The sequence below is a fragment of the Homo sapiens genome, chromosome 12, assembly GCF_000001405.40.
Source record: "Homo sapiens chromosome 12, GRCh38.p14 Primary Assembly".
NCBI lineage: Eukaryota > Metazoa > Chordata > Mammalia > Primates > Hominidae > Homo > Homo sapiens.
The window spans coordinates 128,611,383-128,629,842 of record NC_000012.12 but is presented as its reverse complement, the minus strand read 5'-3'; the positions used below and the strand labels follow the sequence as shown (position 1 = coordinate 128,629,842).

Sequence of the window (18,460 nt, the reverse complement as noted above, 5' to 3'; positions counted from 1 at the left end):
AGGTGTGCACCACCACGCCCAGCTAATTTTTGTATTTTTAGTAGAGACTGAGTCTCACCATCTTGGCCAGGCTGATCGCAAACCCCTGACCTCGTGATCCACCCGCCTTGGCCTCCCAAAGTGCTGGGATTACAGGCGTGAGCCACCGTGCCTGGACAAATTTTAAAATGCAGAATTCAGTGTTGTCGACTACAGGCAGATCTCTGGGGACTGTTGGACCTGCAGGGCTGAGACTTCATGGCCCTCGATTCATAACTCCCCATCTCCCCTTCCCCAACCGCAGGCAGCCACCATTCTGCTCTTTGTTTCCATGAATTGGACTATCTCAGATACCTCATATTAGTGGAATCATATTGGTTTTTTTTTGTTTTGAGACAGGATCTCACTCCCATCGCCTAGGCAGGAGTACAATGGTACAGTCATGGCTCACTGTAGCCTCAACCTCCCAGGCTCAAGCAATCCTCCCGCCTCATTTTTAAAAAATTTTTTTTGCAGAGACAAGGTCTCACTATATTGCCCAGGCTGGTCTTTAACTCCTGGGCTCAAGCCACCTTCCTATCTTGGCCTCCTGAAGTGCTGGAATTATAGGCGTGAGCCACTGAAACTGTCCCAGGTTTTTTTTTATTCTTAAGATTAACAAAGGCTGAACAAAGGGCCACGTATAGAACTTGAACTCCATTCTCGTTTGAAAAATGAATGGATGATGATGTAAAGCAGGTCCCAGTGTGCATGATGTTTGTAAGAGAGATTGAAATCACTCCAAAGTTATCCCTTGCATCCACACAGACATGTATTCCCCATTTTTTTCCTCCAAAATATTTTCTTTCCTCCTCATGTGACAATTACTTAAAATAAATTATAAATTCATTCATAGATCAATGCTCTCACATGTTTCAAATGATGACATAATTATGAGGCTGTAGAATAAAGGCTGACAGCTTTTAATGTTAGCCTTGGCACCATAATCATATACCAAACAATAAGGATAATGCATCTTCCTTGGGCTGCATTCATTTAGGCAACAGGTATTCACGGAGCAATTTCCATGAGGAAGGAGCTGTGCTTGGCAGTGGTGATCAACACATGAAACAGATCAGAGTCCCTCGCCTCCGGGTGGAGCAGGCAGATGTGGCGGGTCATACACCCACCTATACATCCTACAGCTCCTTGTTACGTGCCTACTGTGTGCCAGGCATTGTTGTAGAAGCTACTGATAGAGTGTCCGCTGCCCACATGGAGCTGACACCCCACTGGGGAAATTCAGATAATGAATGTACAAATAGACATGCATTTTATTTGGTCATGTTACGCAAGAAAATCAAGCCGGTCAGGGCATAGAGTGGCCGGCTGTTATTTTAAATCAGGTGATGGAGGTGCACCTGAGAAGATGTAAGCACAGACCTGAACAGCAGGAGGAAGAACACAGTTTGGAATGTGGGGAAGAGGCTCCTGGTACAGGAAATAGTAAGTGCAAAGGCCCCAGGGCAGAGCGCATGGGAGGGGCTGGGAAAGGAGGTTAGATCTCAGCGTGCCGCCGTGGACCAGACATTGCACTTTTTAAAAAAGTGCAGTGGGCTTTTCAGGGAGGCAAGAGCAGGGAGGAGATGACCGGTTCAAGGCTGTTACTGTGAGGAAGGGGCTCCCAGGGGTCAGCATTGAGCAGGGGAGACCAGTCCAGAGGCAGATGATACATCCAGGTGTGAGATGATGGGGCTAGGCTGAGACTGGAAGTGGTGAGGTGGGGGGAGACTGCTGCATTTGAGATGCATTTCGAGGGATGGCACAGATGGGCAGGTGCGATACCAGAGTGTGCGGCAGGCCTGGGGAGACCTGGCTGATGCCAGGATTCTGCACCTGCACCTGAACCTGCACCTGCACCTGCACCTACACCTACATCCTAGATTTCTCCTGCAGCAGCAGCTCCGTGGCCACCTCAAGTGGTGCAGCTGCTGGCCGTGAGCTGTCCAGCAGTTTCACAGCCATTTTTGGCCTCCTTTTCATGGCACTGACCAGGACCCAGCACTTTCTGGGCACGGAGGCCTGACTCCTCGGCGGAGGGAGCTGGGACACTGCAGAGCAGAGCTGCAGGGCGGGGGGAGGCATCAGACCTACAGTACCTGCTGTCTGGGGTTGAAGGCAGCAGGACAGGGGACCCAGGGCTCACAGGGGCTTTCCGAATGATGGTCACAGGATTAATGTTCACAAGATAATGCCTGGGGTGCCGGTGCTTGGGCACAGGAACCTTATGTCTGTTATGCTCGTTGCTGTTTCCCTAGAGTGGCACTCACCAGTCCCCCAGGGAGTGTCTGGTGGGAGACTAGGAGGCAAGAGACTCAAGGGTAAAATGAGATAGAGACAAAATCCCAGCTGTCAGGGAGCCAGCATTCCAGACTGGGGTGGTTGGGGGAGAGGGATAAATATATACACAAATGAAAACATAAGGAAGATAATGTCAGATAATGATCAGACAGAACAATAATTTTGTCAAGGCTAAAATGAGAGAGAGATGAAATTCCAGCTGTCAAGGAGCCAACATTCCAGATTTCAGCGGGGAGGGGAGTAAACATACAAACAAATGAAAACATAAGGAAGATAATGTCAGACAATGATCAGACAAAACAATAATTGTATTGGATATGCCAAAAATCAGATCAGGCAATGTGCTGGAATGGGGGCAGGGAACGCAGCTGTCAGCACCATCTTGGGGCAGGAGGGCCTCCAGGGATGAGGTGGGCAAGGAGTCCTTAATGAAGAGGAGGAGGAGGTGAGGTGCCTCTCAGGATGGCACAGTGAGGACAAAGATGCCGGGTGAGGAGAGCTGGCAGCATCTGCAACAAGGCTTGCACACAGTAGGTGCTTACTAGGGAGAGGCCCTTGGTGGCTCCTCCCTTGACTCGGCAGGCTGGGGTGGCAGTGGGGCTGGAGTGAGCGTTTCCTTCTGTATGCAGCAGGCCTGAGCTATTTCTCTGTGTGGGTCGTGGGCATCTCTAGCTAGCAGGTGAGGTCTGAGAATCTTTTCTCAGAATAAAGTTTTTAAAGGCATGCAGTAAGATATGTGTGCTCACACAGGAAATCAATTGTATTGAAATGCAGTTACTGGCCGGGCATGGTGGCTCACACCTGTAATCCCAGCACTTTGGGAGGCCAAGGCAGGCGGATCACTTGAGGTCAGGAATCTGAGACCAGCCTGGCCAACACGGTGAAACCTTGTCTCTGTTAAAAATACAAAAATTAGCTGGATACAGTGGCAAATGGCTGTAATCTCAGCTACGCAGGAGGCTGAGGCACGAGAATCGCTTGAACCCAGGAGGCAGAGGTTGCAGTGAGCCGAGATCACACCACTGCACTCCAGTCTGGGTGACAGAGTGAGACTCCATCTCAAAAATAAAAATAAAAATAAAAATGTTCAGCACAGGCCAGGCGCAGTGGCTCATGCATATAATCCCACATTTTGGGAGGCTGAGGTGGGCAGATCACCTGAGGTCAGGAGTTCGAGACCAGCCTGGTCAACATGGTGAAACCCTGTGTCTCTGCTAAAAACACAAAACATTAGCTGGGCGTGGTGGTGAGCGCCTGTAATCCCAGCTACTTGGGAGGCTGAGGCACGAGAATTGCTTGAACCTGGGAGGCGAAGGTTGCAGTGAACCGAGATCGCACCACTGCACTCCAGCCTGGGTAACAGAGCGAGACTCTGTCTCATTAAAAAAAAAAAAAAGAAAGAAAGAAATGCAGTTACCAAAATTCAAAATAACTTCAGGTACTGTAGTACATGTGTTTCTTTATTACTGAATTAAGTAATAAGATGTAGTGCTTTACTTTCAAAGCAGTGAAGAATATAGAAGGTATTTCATGACATCTGTATCAACTGCATATGCTATGACATGGAAATGTGTGAGTTTGGTGGCAGCTGCTAATGCTTTTGGGGCTATGACCTGTGTTCACAATGGTTGTGTCCCCCAAATTCATATGCTGAAATGCCAACCCCCAAGGTGATGGGTTAGGAGGTGGGGCCTTTGGGAGGTGATAAGGTCACGCAGGTGAAGTCCTTATGAATGGGATCAGTGTCTGATATGGTTTGGCTGTGTCCCCACCCAAATCTCATCTTGAATTGTAGTTCCCATAATTGGTACATGTTGTGGGAGAGGCCCAGTGGGAAATAATTGAATCACGGGGGGCAGTTTCCCCTATGCTGTTCTCATGGTCATGAATAAGTCTCAGGAGATCTGTTGGTTTTATAAGGGGTTTCCCCTTTCACTTGGTTCGAAATTCTCTTTGCCTGCCACCATCCATGTAAGATGTGACTTGCTCCTCCTTGCCTTCCACCATGATTGTGAGGCCTCCCCAGCCATGTGGAACTGTAAGTCCATTAAACCTCTTTTTCTTCCCATATTTGGGTATGTCTTTATCAGCAGCATGAAAATGGACTAATACAGTGTCCTTATAAAAGAGACTTCAGAGAGCTCATTTGCCCATTCCACCACGTGGGGACACAGTGAGAAGCCACTGTCTATGCACCAGGAGGCAAGTCCTCACCAGACACTGAACCTGCTGATCTTGAACTTCCAGCCCCCAGAACTGTAAGCAGTAAATGTCCACTATTTATAAACCATGCTGTTTATGGCATTTTGTTATAGCAGCTGGAATGGACTATGATAGGAAGAAAATGCTCAGTTTCAGTTAGAGGTTAAGTGGAAATGCAGGTGTAACTTTCCCATTCAAGTTCAGAGAGCCGTGTGGATTCTCTGGGGGTTTCTCCACCTCAGGACCCCTGCAGGGTGGCTGCAATGCTGCTGCAGCTTTAGGGCACAATCTCCTATTGGCACAAGCATAGGGTCACCCCCCTCCCTTGCTAGTTTCTCTCGGGACTGTGTTTCTTACATTCCAGTGGGAGGGCTCATCATTGAGAGAGTGAGCTGGCAGGTGGCATCACTCTTCACATGAGGGTGGCACTGGGTTTACGGGGCTCTATGGACAGATTTCACTGAGAGTGCTACCTCCCCGACTCAGTAGGATTCTAACCGGCACATGGATGAACATTCTGTAGTAACAGTCAGGTTTCTAGTGTAAAGTGATTTATGAACTACTGTTTGAATACCCACAAATAATATCTGAATACTTTTATTCTTATTAATAAATATAAGTAGAAGTGTAACCTGAAGCTTATTTAAGCTAAAATAACTAGCATTTCCTGAAGACTTACTAAGTGCCAAGCAAAGGTTTCTGAGTACAGTTAGTTCTCGAAACAGGCCCATGAGTTGGGGGTCATTTTCATTCCTTTTTTTTTTTTTTTTTTTTTTTTGAGATGGAGTCTCACTCTATCACCCAGGTTGGAGTGCAATGGCACGATCTCGGCTCACTGCAACCTCTGCCACCCGAGTTCAAGCAATTCTCCTGCCTCAGCCTCCCAAGTAGCTGGGATTACAGGCCCCCGCCACCACGTCCAGCTAATTTTTGTATTTTTAGTAGAGACGGGGTTTCGCTATCTTGGCCAGGGTGGTCTTGAACTCCTGACCTTGTGGTCCACTCGCCTCGGGCTCCCAAAGTGCTGGGATTACAGGCCTGAGCCACCACACTCGGCCTATTCCTATTTTACAGATGAGAAAACTGAGGCACAGAGAAGTCAAATCACTTGCCCAAGGTCACACAGGCATTAGGAGGAGGCATTGGGACTCACCCCAACACAGTCAGGCTGAAGCTGAGCGCCCAATTTCTATACTATTCTCTCTTTAGAAAAAAATATTAAGTAAACGATAGACTCAGTGGTTTTTGGAAATGGCAAAAAATGAGAAAGGCTGTCATTAATCAACACTGTGGCATGGTGTTCCCTCCTGGGCCCTCCTCCTACCTTACGCAAACTCCAATTGACCTGGAAAGTGAGGAAGAAGAAAATGCTGACCTAAGTCATTCCCGCTGATTTTTCTGTTCTAGCACCACTCTTTTCACTTTCGTCTTCTTCTTCTTATTGCTTATGTAAATATTCTCTGTTTTCATTTTTCAATCATCTCTCATGAAGTTATATCATCATTTTTTTTTTTGAGACAGAATCTTGCTCTGTCGCCAAGGCTGGAGTGCAGTGTGGCAATCTCAGCTCACTGCAACCTCTGCCTCCCAGGTTCAAGTGATTCTCCTGTCTCAGCCTCCCGAGTAGCTGAGATTACAGGTGCCTGCCATCACGCCCGGCTGATTTTTTGTATTTTTAGTAGAGATGGGGTTTCACCATGTTGCCCAGGCTGGTTTCGAACTCCTGAGCTCAGGCAATCCGCCTGCCTTGGCCTCCCAAAGTGCTGGGATTACAGGTGTGAGCCAATGCACCCGGCTGAAGTTATATCATCTTATCATCTTTAAAATTAGAACATAGCTTTACTTTTTTTTTTGGCAGGTTTCATTTTTTTAAAATTATATATATACATATATATATATAAAATTATACTTTATACTTTAAGTTCTAGGGTACATGTGCACAACGTGCAGGTTTGTTACATATGCATGCATGTGCCAGAACATAGCTTTACTTTCTAAGTAAAGCAAGTCCCATAATGAAAGCCTAAACTTGGAAAGGCCAGTGCTAGCCCTCAGTCCCCCACTTTCCTTTTACTGATAGGGAAACCAAAGTTCAGATAATGATGATGCTACTAAAGACAGCAATGATTCCTCAAATTTTTTGATTGTTGACTCTGGCAGGCAGTGGGTATGGTATCATTTATTGGAGAATTAATCAGTGACCCTGCAAACATCGCTACCAAGGCAGAACAGCTTCATGTGCATCAGAGATTTACTTTTTAGGCAAAAATCTGGGCCAGTTAGTTGGAGGGGAGGGACATTTTTAAACCTAATCCCAAAGCAAATTTCCAGCTGTGACAAGAAAATACTTATTCTGTCCATATAGTTATTTTTCAACTGAGCAAATATTTTTCAATTGCCCTAGAGCATCCAACCCATCCTTAAAATTCTCTTAGAGAGTTACAAATAGAAACATTTTGAAGTTGGAATAGGAAAGTGGAGATCAGGACGAGATGTTTTTGAAAAACAATAAAACATTATTTTTCCATTGTCTCTTGAAAAGCAATATTCTCCAATCCCTGTCAAAGGAGATCTCCCCCACATCCTACGACACGCCTGCCTCTGCCCTTCTTGAACACAGAAGATATTGCTAACGCGCTTCCCCACGGACCCCAGAGCAGAGTGAAGCCATCCATCACCTGCAGATTGACGTGCAGATCCGATAGCATCTCTGCAGTGCCATGGGTCTGTTCATGTACGTCCGGGTCTCTGAATTTAGCAAGGGCAGAGGATGCAGGAAAACAACCACAGGATGCCCCCAGGTGGGAAAATCCAGTGAAACCACTGGGGTCAAGATACCCCAACAGGATGTCTTAACGGCTCCCTTCCATTTTGACTGTCTATGAAGAGAAGAAAGACCACCCTGGGAATGTTTCCTGGTTATATATATATATATATATATATATATATATATATATATATTTTTTTTTTTTTTTTTTGAGACAAAGTCTCACTCTGTCACCCAGGCTAGAGTGCAGTGGTACCATCTTGGCTCAGTGCAACCTCCGCCTCCCAAGCTCAAGTGATTCTCCTGCCTCAGCCTCCCGAGTAGCTGGGAATACAGGCACGTGCTGCCATGCCTGGCTAATTTTAGTATTTTTAGTAGAGATGGGGTTTCACCATGTTGGCCAGGCTGGTTTTGAACTCCTGACCTCAGTTGATTCGCCCACCTCAGCTTCCCAAAGTGCTGGGATTATAGGTGTAAGCCACCATGCCCAGCCCATATACATATATATTTTGAGGATAATGGTGTGTTCTCAGCCAAAGAGAGTCTAGAGGGAGCGTGCAGCATTTAGCTCTCAGGTATCACTCAGAGTCGTGGCTGGAACAGACAGCCTGCTCAGGGTGGTTTAACTGGAGGGAGTGTTGTAAAGGCTGAGCCATAGAGCTGTGGGCATAACGGAGGGAAAAAGCCAGGGATGGTGCAACACCCCACGCTAGTCCCAGCTGGGAGCTGTTTCTACCCCAAGGCCTAGGGGCAGGGCAAGGCAGTTGAGATGCTGGAGCCCAGAGAGAGGAGAACCACAGAAAACAGACTTCCCAGTGGGACAGGTGTGTGGGCGTGGAGGACCACACGCCCGCAAGACACACATCAGGCCGGGCAGATGAGGATGCATTGTGTCCCAGGGCTCCCGAAACAGTACCACGGATGGAGGATGAAACAACAGACACTGATTCTCTCATAGTTCCTCAGGCTGAAAGTCCGAAATCAAGGTGTCAGCTGCAACACAATCCCTCTGAAGGCTCTAGAGAGAACCGTCCTTGCCTCTCTCCTAGGCTTGGCATGTTGCCAGCTAGTCTTTGCTTCCCTTGGCTACGGGGTGCTATCGGAAGCTCCAGTCTTTGCCACCATCCTCACATGGCCCTCTTCTTGTATCCTCCATGTTCAAATCTCTGTCTCCTTGTGTACACCAGTCATTGCATTTGGACTCCACTCAAATCCAGCATGATCTCCTCTCAACTTCAGTACATCCACAAAGACCTTACTTCCAAATAAGGTCACATTCACTGGCTCCAGGAGTTAGGACTTCAACCTGCTTTCTTGGGAGGGTGGGCATAATTCAACCCATTCCCTCCAGTTCTCTCTGGTGCCTCCCACTGGTTAAAGCCCTCCAGAAGCCAGAGGGCAAGGGAGCCTGGGGGCTGTAGTTCACATGGGCCAGCCCCCAGGGCCCAGAGCAGAGCCGAGAAGGGTCTGGAAGGGCAAACCAGTCACGGGAGAAGGCCCCGCTGCCATCTCCTTCTTGATCATCCTTTCTAGTGGCGTGCTTCATCCAGGGTCTCCAAGGATCTCTCAAGCCCTAATGAATCTCTATGACACCCCAGAGAGGTAAGAATTAGATAATCATTTTGCAGATGCAAGAATAAGTAGCAATCTCTCCTTTAAACAACCCTACTGATTGCCACTTTATTTTTAATTTGATTTTATGCAGAGAGATAGGAACATGTTCTAGGAATTTTGAAAGCTCTGTGTAAGAAAAAAAAAACCCAAGTTACTGTCATGTTTTAGGGGTCAAGGAAAATGATTTCATAATGAGTTTGCAAAGGATGAAAAATGGCAATGATTTGAAACTTTTCAAAATTCCAGGTAAATCTCACCACTTCTCAGGAAATTTAATTTCAGACTAAATATATCAGTCCCGGGGGCAAAGAACTTCTTCCTACACCGCCAAAATTAGTGGTTACTGCCTTCTCTAGAGTTTTTTGCCTAAAATTTAGTTTCTTTGTTTTTTGTTTTGTTTTAATTTCAAATAAGCAGTAGGAAGAAAGTCCATGACGCTAACAGAGCTAGAAATCAGTTAGACCCCATCCCCTTACTCCTCCTTGATTTGTGTGACAGCAGCGTCTGATCACTATCTGGACCTCACCTTAGGAAGTATCTACCTGTTTGCTGTCTGTCGCTCCACTAGAGTATACCTGCAGGAAGGCAAACTTTGTCTGTTGACTGCTGTCCTCTGAGGATATGCAGCAATGAATACCTGCAGAGCTTAGTGTGAGGTTGAATGAATTCTGCTGCTTGTTTATTCCTTTTTTTTTTTTTTTTTTTTTTGAGACAGGGTCTCATTCTGTTGCCTGGGCTGGGAATGCAGTGGCACCATCACGGCTCACTGCAGCCTCCAACTCCTGGGCTTAAGCGATCCTCCCACCTCAGCCTCCCTAGGAGCTGGGTCTACAGGTGTGTGCTACCGCACCTGGCTAATTTTGGTATTTTTTTGTAGAAATGAGGTCTCACTATGTTACCCAAGCTGGTCTTGAACTCTTGGACTCAAGCAATCCTCTTGCCTTGGCCTCCCAAAGTCCTGGGATTATAGGTGTGAGCCATCGCGCCTGGCCTTGTCCATTTATTCTTAAAAAGAGACCAGCACCCCAGCCACTCGCATACAGAAACTATCACTTGGAAATCTGTGCCTGGTCTCTGCTCATGTGGCCTCAACTTGGGATATGAACCCTTTTTTCTTACATTGAAGAAGAACTGAACTGCCAACATTTTAGTTGTCCCAAATGCTCCTTCCTCTGTAGTTCTGAAAGCTTTATGTACGAAAGTGGCCTTGGTCCTCCCATTCAGATACCTCTCTCACCCCATCCCCCAAGCCTAACACTGGCACAGTGGGGACAGCGCAGGGAGGAGGGGATTAGGGAGAGGTGGGTGCTGGCAGGAGGGTCGTGGAGCTAAGACTTGGAGCTTTCCTGCCCTCACAAGGCAAGAGGCTCATTGTCAACAAGCCTGGAGGCAGGACGAGCAAAACGGTGGCCTTGGGAATCAGTCCTCTCCAAACAAAAGAGTGCCCAGGGACCAGCAAGTGAGATTCAGGTGGCTTCCGCCTGCAGGGTCTGCTCTGGGGAGAGTCGAGAGCACGTCTCCCTGCTTTTCCCATTGCATTTACTCAGGGGGAGTCAGAGGCAGTAGGTGACGGGGAATGCTGTGGCTGAATCCTCCTATCCGTGGCTCTCTCCTTGGATTTAAAAAGGAGCTTCAGAATGCTTGATTTTAAGGCAAGAACTTCCCCAGTGAGGCAGATTTTCCATCTGTTAATCCCCTGTTTCACCTTTCTGAAGTTTGTTTTCTTTAAAACGATCAACAAATTGGAAAATATGCTTAATTGGTTCAAAGATCTAACCAGCTGTCTCACTGGCTGCTAACAGACAACACAGGATTTGCTTTGTGCTCAGTAATTTTTTTTAAATTTCTCATCTTCTAGTCAAAGCTGCAGTTTTATTAGCTAGTTACTTCCAATAAAAGTTTACTTTTTGCCTGGTTATAAATGTCCTAAAGCTTATTCTGAACCAAAACTTTGAACATACAGAAAATAGGAGAATAGAAGTCCCTCTAAATTGCCTCATCTATTTTCTAATTTTCCATGTTGCTTTGCATAGCTGAGGTCAAGTTGTACATCCCAGGGGATGCAAAACGGTGATACTGCATGTATTAGTCTGTTTTCACACTGCTGATAAAGACATACCTGAGACTGGGTAATTTATAAAGGAAAATAGATAATGGACTCACCATTCCGTGTGGCTGGGGAGGTCTCACAATCATGGCAGAAGGCAAAAAGCATGTCTTACATGGCGACGGGAAGAGAGAATGAGAGCCAAGTGAAAGGCGAAACCCCTTATAAAAGCACTAGATCTTTTGAGACTTATTCACATTCATGAGAACAGTATGGTGAAAACTGCCTCCATGATTCAATTTTCTCCCATCGAGTCCCTCCCACAACATGTGGGAATTATGGGACCTACAATTAAAGATGAGATTTGGGTAGGGACACAGCCAAACCATAACACTGCACGAGCACCCAAATCCAGTGTTCAGAGCCCAGAGCTCTGTGCTGGTGCTGCAAAGGTGTTTGTTTATCAATGAACTTTTGAATAAAGCTTGTTTGAATTCACATGCATTTACTTGCAAACAAAAGGATCCTGACAAGAGTACAGACATTAGTAATCACTTCACTTTACCTTAAAGGCATTATGAAAACACAACCACCACAAGAATAACAATACATCCATCCAAGGAAGACCTGTGCTCCCTTGAAAAGGACCATTATAATATCTCACACTCTTAAGATGGCTTTTCCTTTTCAAAGTATTTGAATGTCTTATCCTTCTGAAATAGGTCGAAACTGAACACTTGTAATCCAGAGCTGATGCTGGTGTGTGCTCTAGGACACAGGTCTGCAAATTTTCTCTCTAAAGGGCCAGATAGTAAATATTTCAGAGTTTATGAGCCAACAGGCAGAACTGAGCATATGAAGAAGCTAGACAGGACCATTTAAAAATGTAGATATTTAAAAATGTTAAAACCATTCTTAGCTTGCATGGTGTACAAAACCGGGCAGCAGATTGGATGTGGCCCATGGCTTGTTGTTTGTTGACCCCTGTTCTAGGACATAAAAAGTCAAAAGGAATCATTCTCTGACTTCCAAGTGTTTACAGATCTTTATGGTAGATGATACCTTCTGGGGTGCACATCTGCTATTTTGTCTGACCAGCATCTGTTCCCTGTTTCAGTGAAAGCCAAATTTTTCCATGATGCACAGGCTCTTAGTCTCATTCCACACTTGCCCCACCTGAGGCTACACCTGCCCTACCTGATTCCACACCTGTCCCACCTGACTCTACACCTGCCCCACCTGATTCCACACCTGCCCCACCTGATTCCACACCTGTCCCACCTGACTCTGCATCTGCCCCACTTGATTTCACACCTGCCTCACCTGATGCTACACCTGTCCCACCTGCTGCTACATCTCCTTCACCTGATTCCACACCTGCCCCAGGGTGATACATTCCCCAGGCCTGGCCAATCAGAGCAACACATCCTTTTGATTTCAGTGATTGGCTTCAAGTTGGGCTCATGACCCAAGCCAATCAGTTCCAATCAGTCTCTGTCCCAAAGGATTTGCTGGAGTGATTGGCAGTGAGGTTTCCACTCATTTCTTGCTGGACATGATGCTGTGAAGAAGCCAGCGTGGCATTGCCGGGGCCACCTTGTGACTAACAAAGAGGAAGGAGAGCTGAGAAAGGAAGAGAAGCCACTGTCCATACCACATCATTTGCACACGTGGGCCCCTCACACTCCAAGTGTGGTCTGCAGACCAGCCGCGCTGACATGGCTTAGGAGCTTTGAAAAATAAGTACCCAACCCAGACCTCCTAAGTGAGGATGGGCATCTACTCAAAATGTTCCTGTGATCTGCATGCCCGATAATGTTTGAGAAACACTTTTCTAGACTTTTAAACTTACATGAGCCAAGGTGAAGTTGGGTTGTGTTTGTAGCCTTTATAACTCAAAGAATCCTGAATAATCCATTTTCTTATAATCCTGATTAATCCATTTCTCATAGCATGATTCACACAAGTAGCATGTTTGCTTACACGTTCTCATCAGTGTACACTACTAACAGTAATCTAAGAGTGGCCACATTGTGAGTCAGATAGATGGTGCTGCACTACTCAAGCCCATTGTCACTCATCTACTTTCTACATTTCAGGTTGACCTCACAGCCCAGTGACAGCCTCTGAGAGTTCAATGCTGAGTGAGCTCCATCATCCTAAGGAAAGAGGAGATGAAGGGCATCTATCTCAAGCATGGAGTGGGGAGCAAGAAGGAACCGAGTTTGCAGAAAGATGGCAAAGCTGACCATCCTTTTAGCTCAGGGGTTTCCAACCCTGGCTGCACACTGAAATCACCTGGTGAGCTTCTTAAAATCACAGGTGCTCACTTCCACCTCCAGCAATGATTGTGACTTGCTGGACTAAACTTCATGACTAAAGTTGAGAAAGGCCAGGCTCATGAAAAGTAACAACTTCCAGGGTGAGGAAAGACGAGAAACTTTGAAAGTAAACACTCCATAAAATCATTGTAGCAAACATCCCATGACAGATAGGAAGGACACAGGATGCAGTCAGGTGGCTGAATGCAGGAGCATCCAAGGTAACTCAGGACTCACCATAGCCAAGGGAACGATGCCCACCAGGTCCTTCTGGCTGACAAAGATCTCGGACACGGCGATGTCTGTGGTCCCCTTCCGTGGGTACTCCACCTGCCACGTGATGGGCTGAGTCCCTGAAAGGCTGCTGAAACTGGCTATTTCAAAGTTCATCTGCACAACCTCATTGAATAAACTGCTGCTCCTGGAAGAGAGAAAAGAAACTGGCTTTAAGCCAACTTTGTTCAAAGGACCCTTCTCTCCTCATAATAGTACGCAGAAGATAAAGACAAAGAAACACATCTCAGGGATGGCTCCAGGGTTTTGGTGGGGGATCCTGGGGCATGGAACCACCTACAAAGTGAGGACTGGCATCTGGGACAGAGAAGCACCCACAAGTTAAGGATATGGGCCAAGAATATTCAACAATGAGCAGTAACCTGTGTCTGTGTTGATGAGGCCTTGGAATGATTATTACCAGCTCTGCAGATGATGAGCTAAACTAGTTTATCTCACACCTGCAGTATGCACCTGAATGGCCTCTGTTCAGTTCTGTAGGTGTGGCAGATGCTATAGGCTGGGGTCCCCAACCCCTGGGCCATGAACCGGTACCAGTCCATGGGCTGTTAGGAATAGGGCTGCACAGCAGGAGGTGAGTGGCGGGTAAGTGAGCAAAGCTCCATCTCTATTTATAGCTACTCCCCATAGCTCACATTATCACCTGAGCTCCACCTCCTGTCAGGTCAGTGGCAGCATTAGATTCTCATAGGGGCATGAACTGTATTGTGAACTGCGCATGTAAGGGATCGAGGTTGTGTGCGCCTTATGAAAATCTAACGCCTGATGATCTGTCACTGTCTCCCATCACTCCCAGAAGGGACAGTCTAGTTGCAGGAAAACAAACTCAGGGCTCCCACTGATTCTACATTACGGTGACTTATGTAATTAGTTCATTATTATTCAACATTCATTATTCATTATCATTACAATGTAATAATAATAGAAATAAGCTGCACAATAAATGTAATGTACTTGAATCATCCCAAAACCATCCTTCCCCCACCACCGCCATCTGTGGAAAAATTGTCTTCCATGAAACTGGTCCCTGGTGCCAAAAAGGTCAGGGACCACTGCTGTAGGCCACTCACTCAATAGCACCTTCAACCCCCTCTGCTTGTCCTCCTCTGCTATAGGGGCTGAGAGGCCTAAACTACATTCTCAGAACCCCTTGCTGCTAGATGCAGGATTGAAGCAGTTTGCTCCAGTCGGACCCACTCATTTGGGACGTAGAGGAAGAAGTGGGTTCTAGAGCAGCAGCCAGGAAGGCAGTTGGGGTTTTCTGGTGAGCACAGTGGCCCTGGTTCTCCTGGGGCAGCTGTGGGGTGCCCCTGGCATCCAGGCCCTCACATCATCATGCCGAGGGGTGACAGTGGTGTTTCCACCACAACAGTCCTCTGCAGAGGTTGGACCTTTGTCGTCTGTGTTATCACTGGCTGCCCTGTCCCTGGCTGTGTAGTAAATACATTCAATTCAGTGGTTCTCCTAGAGATTATGTGAATTGCCTAGTATCCTTTAATGACATCTCTTCTGCTCAGAGGGGCTACTTAGCTAAAGGGACTCTTTGTCTGCAACTAAGAATTCTGACCAATTCCATGCATTTGAGATATATGTATTTTGGGAACTACCGTTGGTCCAAACTTTTTCATTTTTTAGATGATAAAATTAAAGCCAATAAAGGAAAGATGGCTTGCCCACAACCACATATCTGGCTAGGGCAGAGTTAACATAAAATGTAGCATCTCCTGTTTCCGAGTCCAATGCTCTTTACAGATCCTTGCCTAAGACAGCTGGTGGTCAAATATGACATCACAAGTCTCCAACAGTTTTTTTTTTTAATTTGTTTGTTTGTTTCCTTAGGGCAGGAGACAGCAAACTGTGTCCTGTGAACCAAATGCAGCCAGCTGCCTATTTTTGTGAGTAACACTTTACTGGAGCACAGCCTTGGATATTTGTTTACATTTTCCTGTGGTTGCTTTCGTGTTATAAGAACATGGTTGAGTAATTGCATCAGTCAATGTAGAGCCTGCAAAACCTAAAATATTTCTTATCCAAATCCTTACAGAAAACTTTTGCCAGTATTGGCTAGAGAAGGTCAGAGAAGGGGAAGTTGGCCGAGCTTTGTAGAGCTGTTGATCAATAGAACCGCTATTGGTGGAAACAAGAAGGAAGAGCATGGAAGGCATCACGCTGAGTTTGTAGGGGGGCCAGGGTTCTGGTGAGCCTTGGCATCCAGCCTGAGGTGTCTCCAGTGCCCTCTGCTGATATGCTAAGGATGGCGCTAAGTGGTGGGTCAGTGGTCAGCAAGACCTCAGGCTGCCATCTCCTGGAAGGCTACATGTTTGCAGATGAATTAAAGGAGATTTTCCATGGCATATCAAGAAAGAAACACCAAATATGCTTAAAAACTGCATCTCAAGCATGTGCCAACATGAAGAGTAGCAGTGAAACACTTTCCTTTGCTGGGGCACTAATATCGAGTGCACCATTCCATCTTCAGGGCTTGATTGACAGCCAGAGCACTAACTCTCCACCACATCACCCTCAGTCCTGCTCAGTGGCTGGGGAAGGATATAACGGGAAGGTTACTGCACCAAACAAAGCACTGGGTTTTGTGAATCTTCCTTAAGTTCACAGGGCCGGGAACAGGGCCCACAGAATCATGATTTATGAGATGCTAGAGATTCCTCTGGGAGGGAAAAGAAATCTAAGGTCTTGACCATCAAGCTAGGGGCTGCAAATCTCAAGCATGAATTGCTAGTCTTTAAAAATGAGGGAGAGATGTCTTGAGTCTAGAGTGTTTCCAAACTAAGAGATGTGTTCTTGGTCCAGCAACTGAGGCCCACAGGTGGTTCTTGACCACCAGCTGTCTTAGGCGAGGATCTGTAAAGAGCATTGGACTGGGAAACAGGAGATGCTACATTTTATGTTGACTCTGCACTACTCAACATCCAGGAGATCCTCTCTCACTGCTGGCCTGCAGACAATCTTGCATTCTAGGGAGTTGCATCTCATCTTCTTAGCAAGCACGTCTGGACCTGATTCTCCTTATCTGCCACTGGGTACCAGTACTGGTGCTGTCCAGGAGCTGCATGGCTACTTGACTGACTCTACTCAGCAAGTAATTCACTTCCCTTAGTATTGGATGTGGCAACCATCCAAATGTCCAAAGACCCCCTTTCAGTCCCAAACGGATGCCTATACTGGCACAGAACCACAGAGGTTGCAATGAGCTTTCAGCCTGCACTTCTCTTCACTCTCTTACAAAGTTCTGTGAGCATTGCAACCACTCACATCATCTCTCCGAGACTCAGAGGCACCATATAGAAGACTGAAATAATGACATTCCCATTGTGCAGGGAGGAAAGAGGCATGAAAAAGAAGCCAGCACAACTTCTCATGCTCCAGGAGCAGCCTCCTCCACTGCAATTCTGCTAACGAAGGGCATTAAGAAAGGCATAGTCATGGACAAGGGAAAAGAGAAGGGGTATTTTTCCTTTTGGCTTGAAAGATATTGTTATGTGATTTTTGTGAGCAGTGAGGTGACCTCCCGAAAGCGTTTTGTTGTAGTTGGCATAAGAATAAAAATAACACGTGACTGTTAACAATATACTCACTATGTGCCGGGCACTGGACCAGGTTCCACGCAGACCTTATTCCAAATCCCAATCCAAACCCTGAGGTGGTGATTAAGGTTCTCATTTTGCACCAGTGTCAGAGCAGACACTTTTGAACCTCTGCAGCCAGAAAGTGTGTTTGCATCAACTTGCTCTTCAACCACAGATAGAAGGCAGCAACTCAGCAGGATCCTGTTTGGAACATTCTGTAGCTCCCCACTCAGATGCCCATCACTTGTGAGCCAACTCAACCTAATCTTGGTTTCAGAATGGAAAAAAAAATACAAGTTTCACAACTGGATGAAAACTCCAGCTTTCTGGCAGCTGCACAGAATTCTAGGTCAGGGTGACATCAGGGCAAGCTCTCTGGTGCACTGGGGGCAGGGGCCTGGCTAGAACACCGACATCCGTCTTTCAGGGAGTTGGAGATCTCAGACAAAAGGAAGAAGAGATAGTTCTGTGTCCACCTGGACCCTGGGAATGTGTGTGATAGAGCAAAGGTCAGACCAGACTGACCCGACAGAGAAATGAGCCCCCGGGAGGCCTTAGGATTCAACGTTCTGACACAAGACAAAGAATTCCTCTGGGAAGATACAGAACCAATGCCCTTGTCTCTTTATTTTTGTACATTCATATTCTTTCCTACCCCTTCTCCACCCCCACACAGCCTTTGTCTTCTTCGTCTCTAAAAAATGCATAGTATGATTGTCTAAGTTGAAGAAAATGCAACCCCATTTTGAAACTTGACCCTTTCGTGGAGATGAGTCACTGGGCGATTTGGTGTCGCTGGTTCCGCTCTGTTCATTTTAAGGGAGCATCTCCACTTTGTCCTTGCTGACTGATGGGATGGCTGGCCAGTGGTACTAGAGAGCAGAAGATTTTCCTAGAGAAGCTGGGAATCTAGGCTTTTTTTTCTCTAAAATCTCTGGATTTTAAATTATAAGAACCTTCACTTTTTAGCTATAGCGTAGCTCAGACAACATCTCTGCTGACTCTCAGTTTCCTGCCTCTGGCTTAGAAGGTTTCCCTCCAGTATCTACATATTCTGGCAAAAGCATTTTATAGTTTGCTGTGACCTGAGGTGGAAGATGTCTTCCCAAAAATGATGCATGTGGTGATTCTCCAACTGCAGTGCCCAGGATCCGTGGCACTCCAAGGGGTGAGACAGCAGTGGGCATGGGGCTGGAGCCAGTCCCTAACCCCGCTCCCGCCCCAGACATATTCCTGTTGCAATGAGAGCACCTCCAATCAGATGTGTTGTCAACATTAGGCCTCCAACAAGTCTTTCATTCAAATAATG

General features: G+C 46.5%; 1 protein-coding gene across 3 annotated transcripts in view; it reads right to left on the bottom strand.

The window, feature by feature from the left end:
- TMEM132C (transmembrane protein 132C) overlaps positions 1 to 18,460 on the bottom strand; it is a 440,742-nt gene that overhangs the window by 78,069 nt on the left and 344,213 nt on the right. For all 3 annotated transcript variants that reach the window (NM_001136103.3, XM_047429886.1, NM_001387058.1), the window contains exon 4: positions 13,508 to 13,691. In NM_001136103.3, the coding sequence (NP_001129575.2) occupies positions 13,508 to 13,691 (184 nt within the window). The remainder of the gene's footprint in view (positions 1 to 13,507; positions 13,692 to 18,460) is intronic.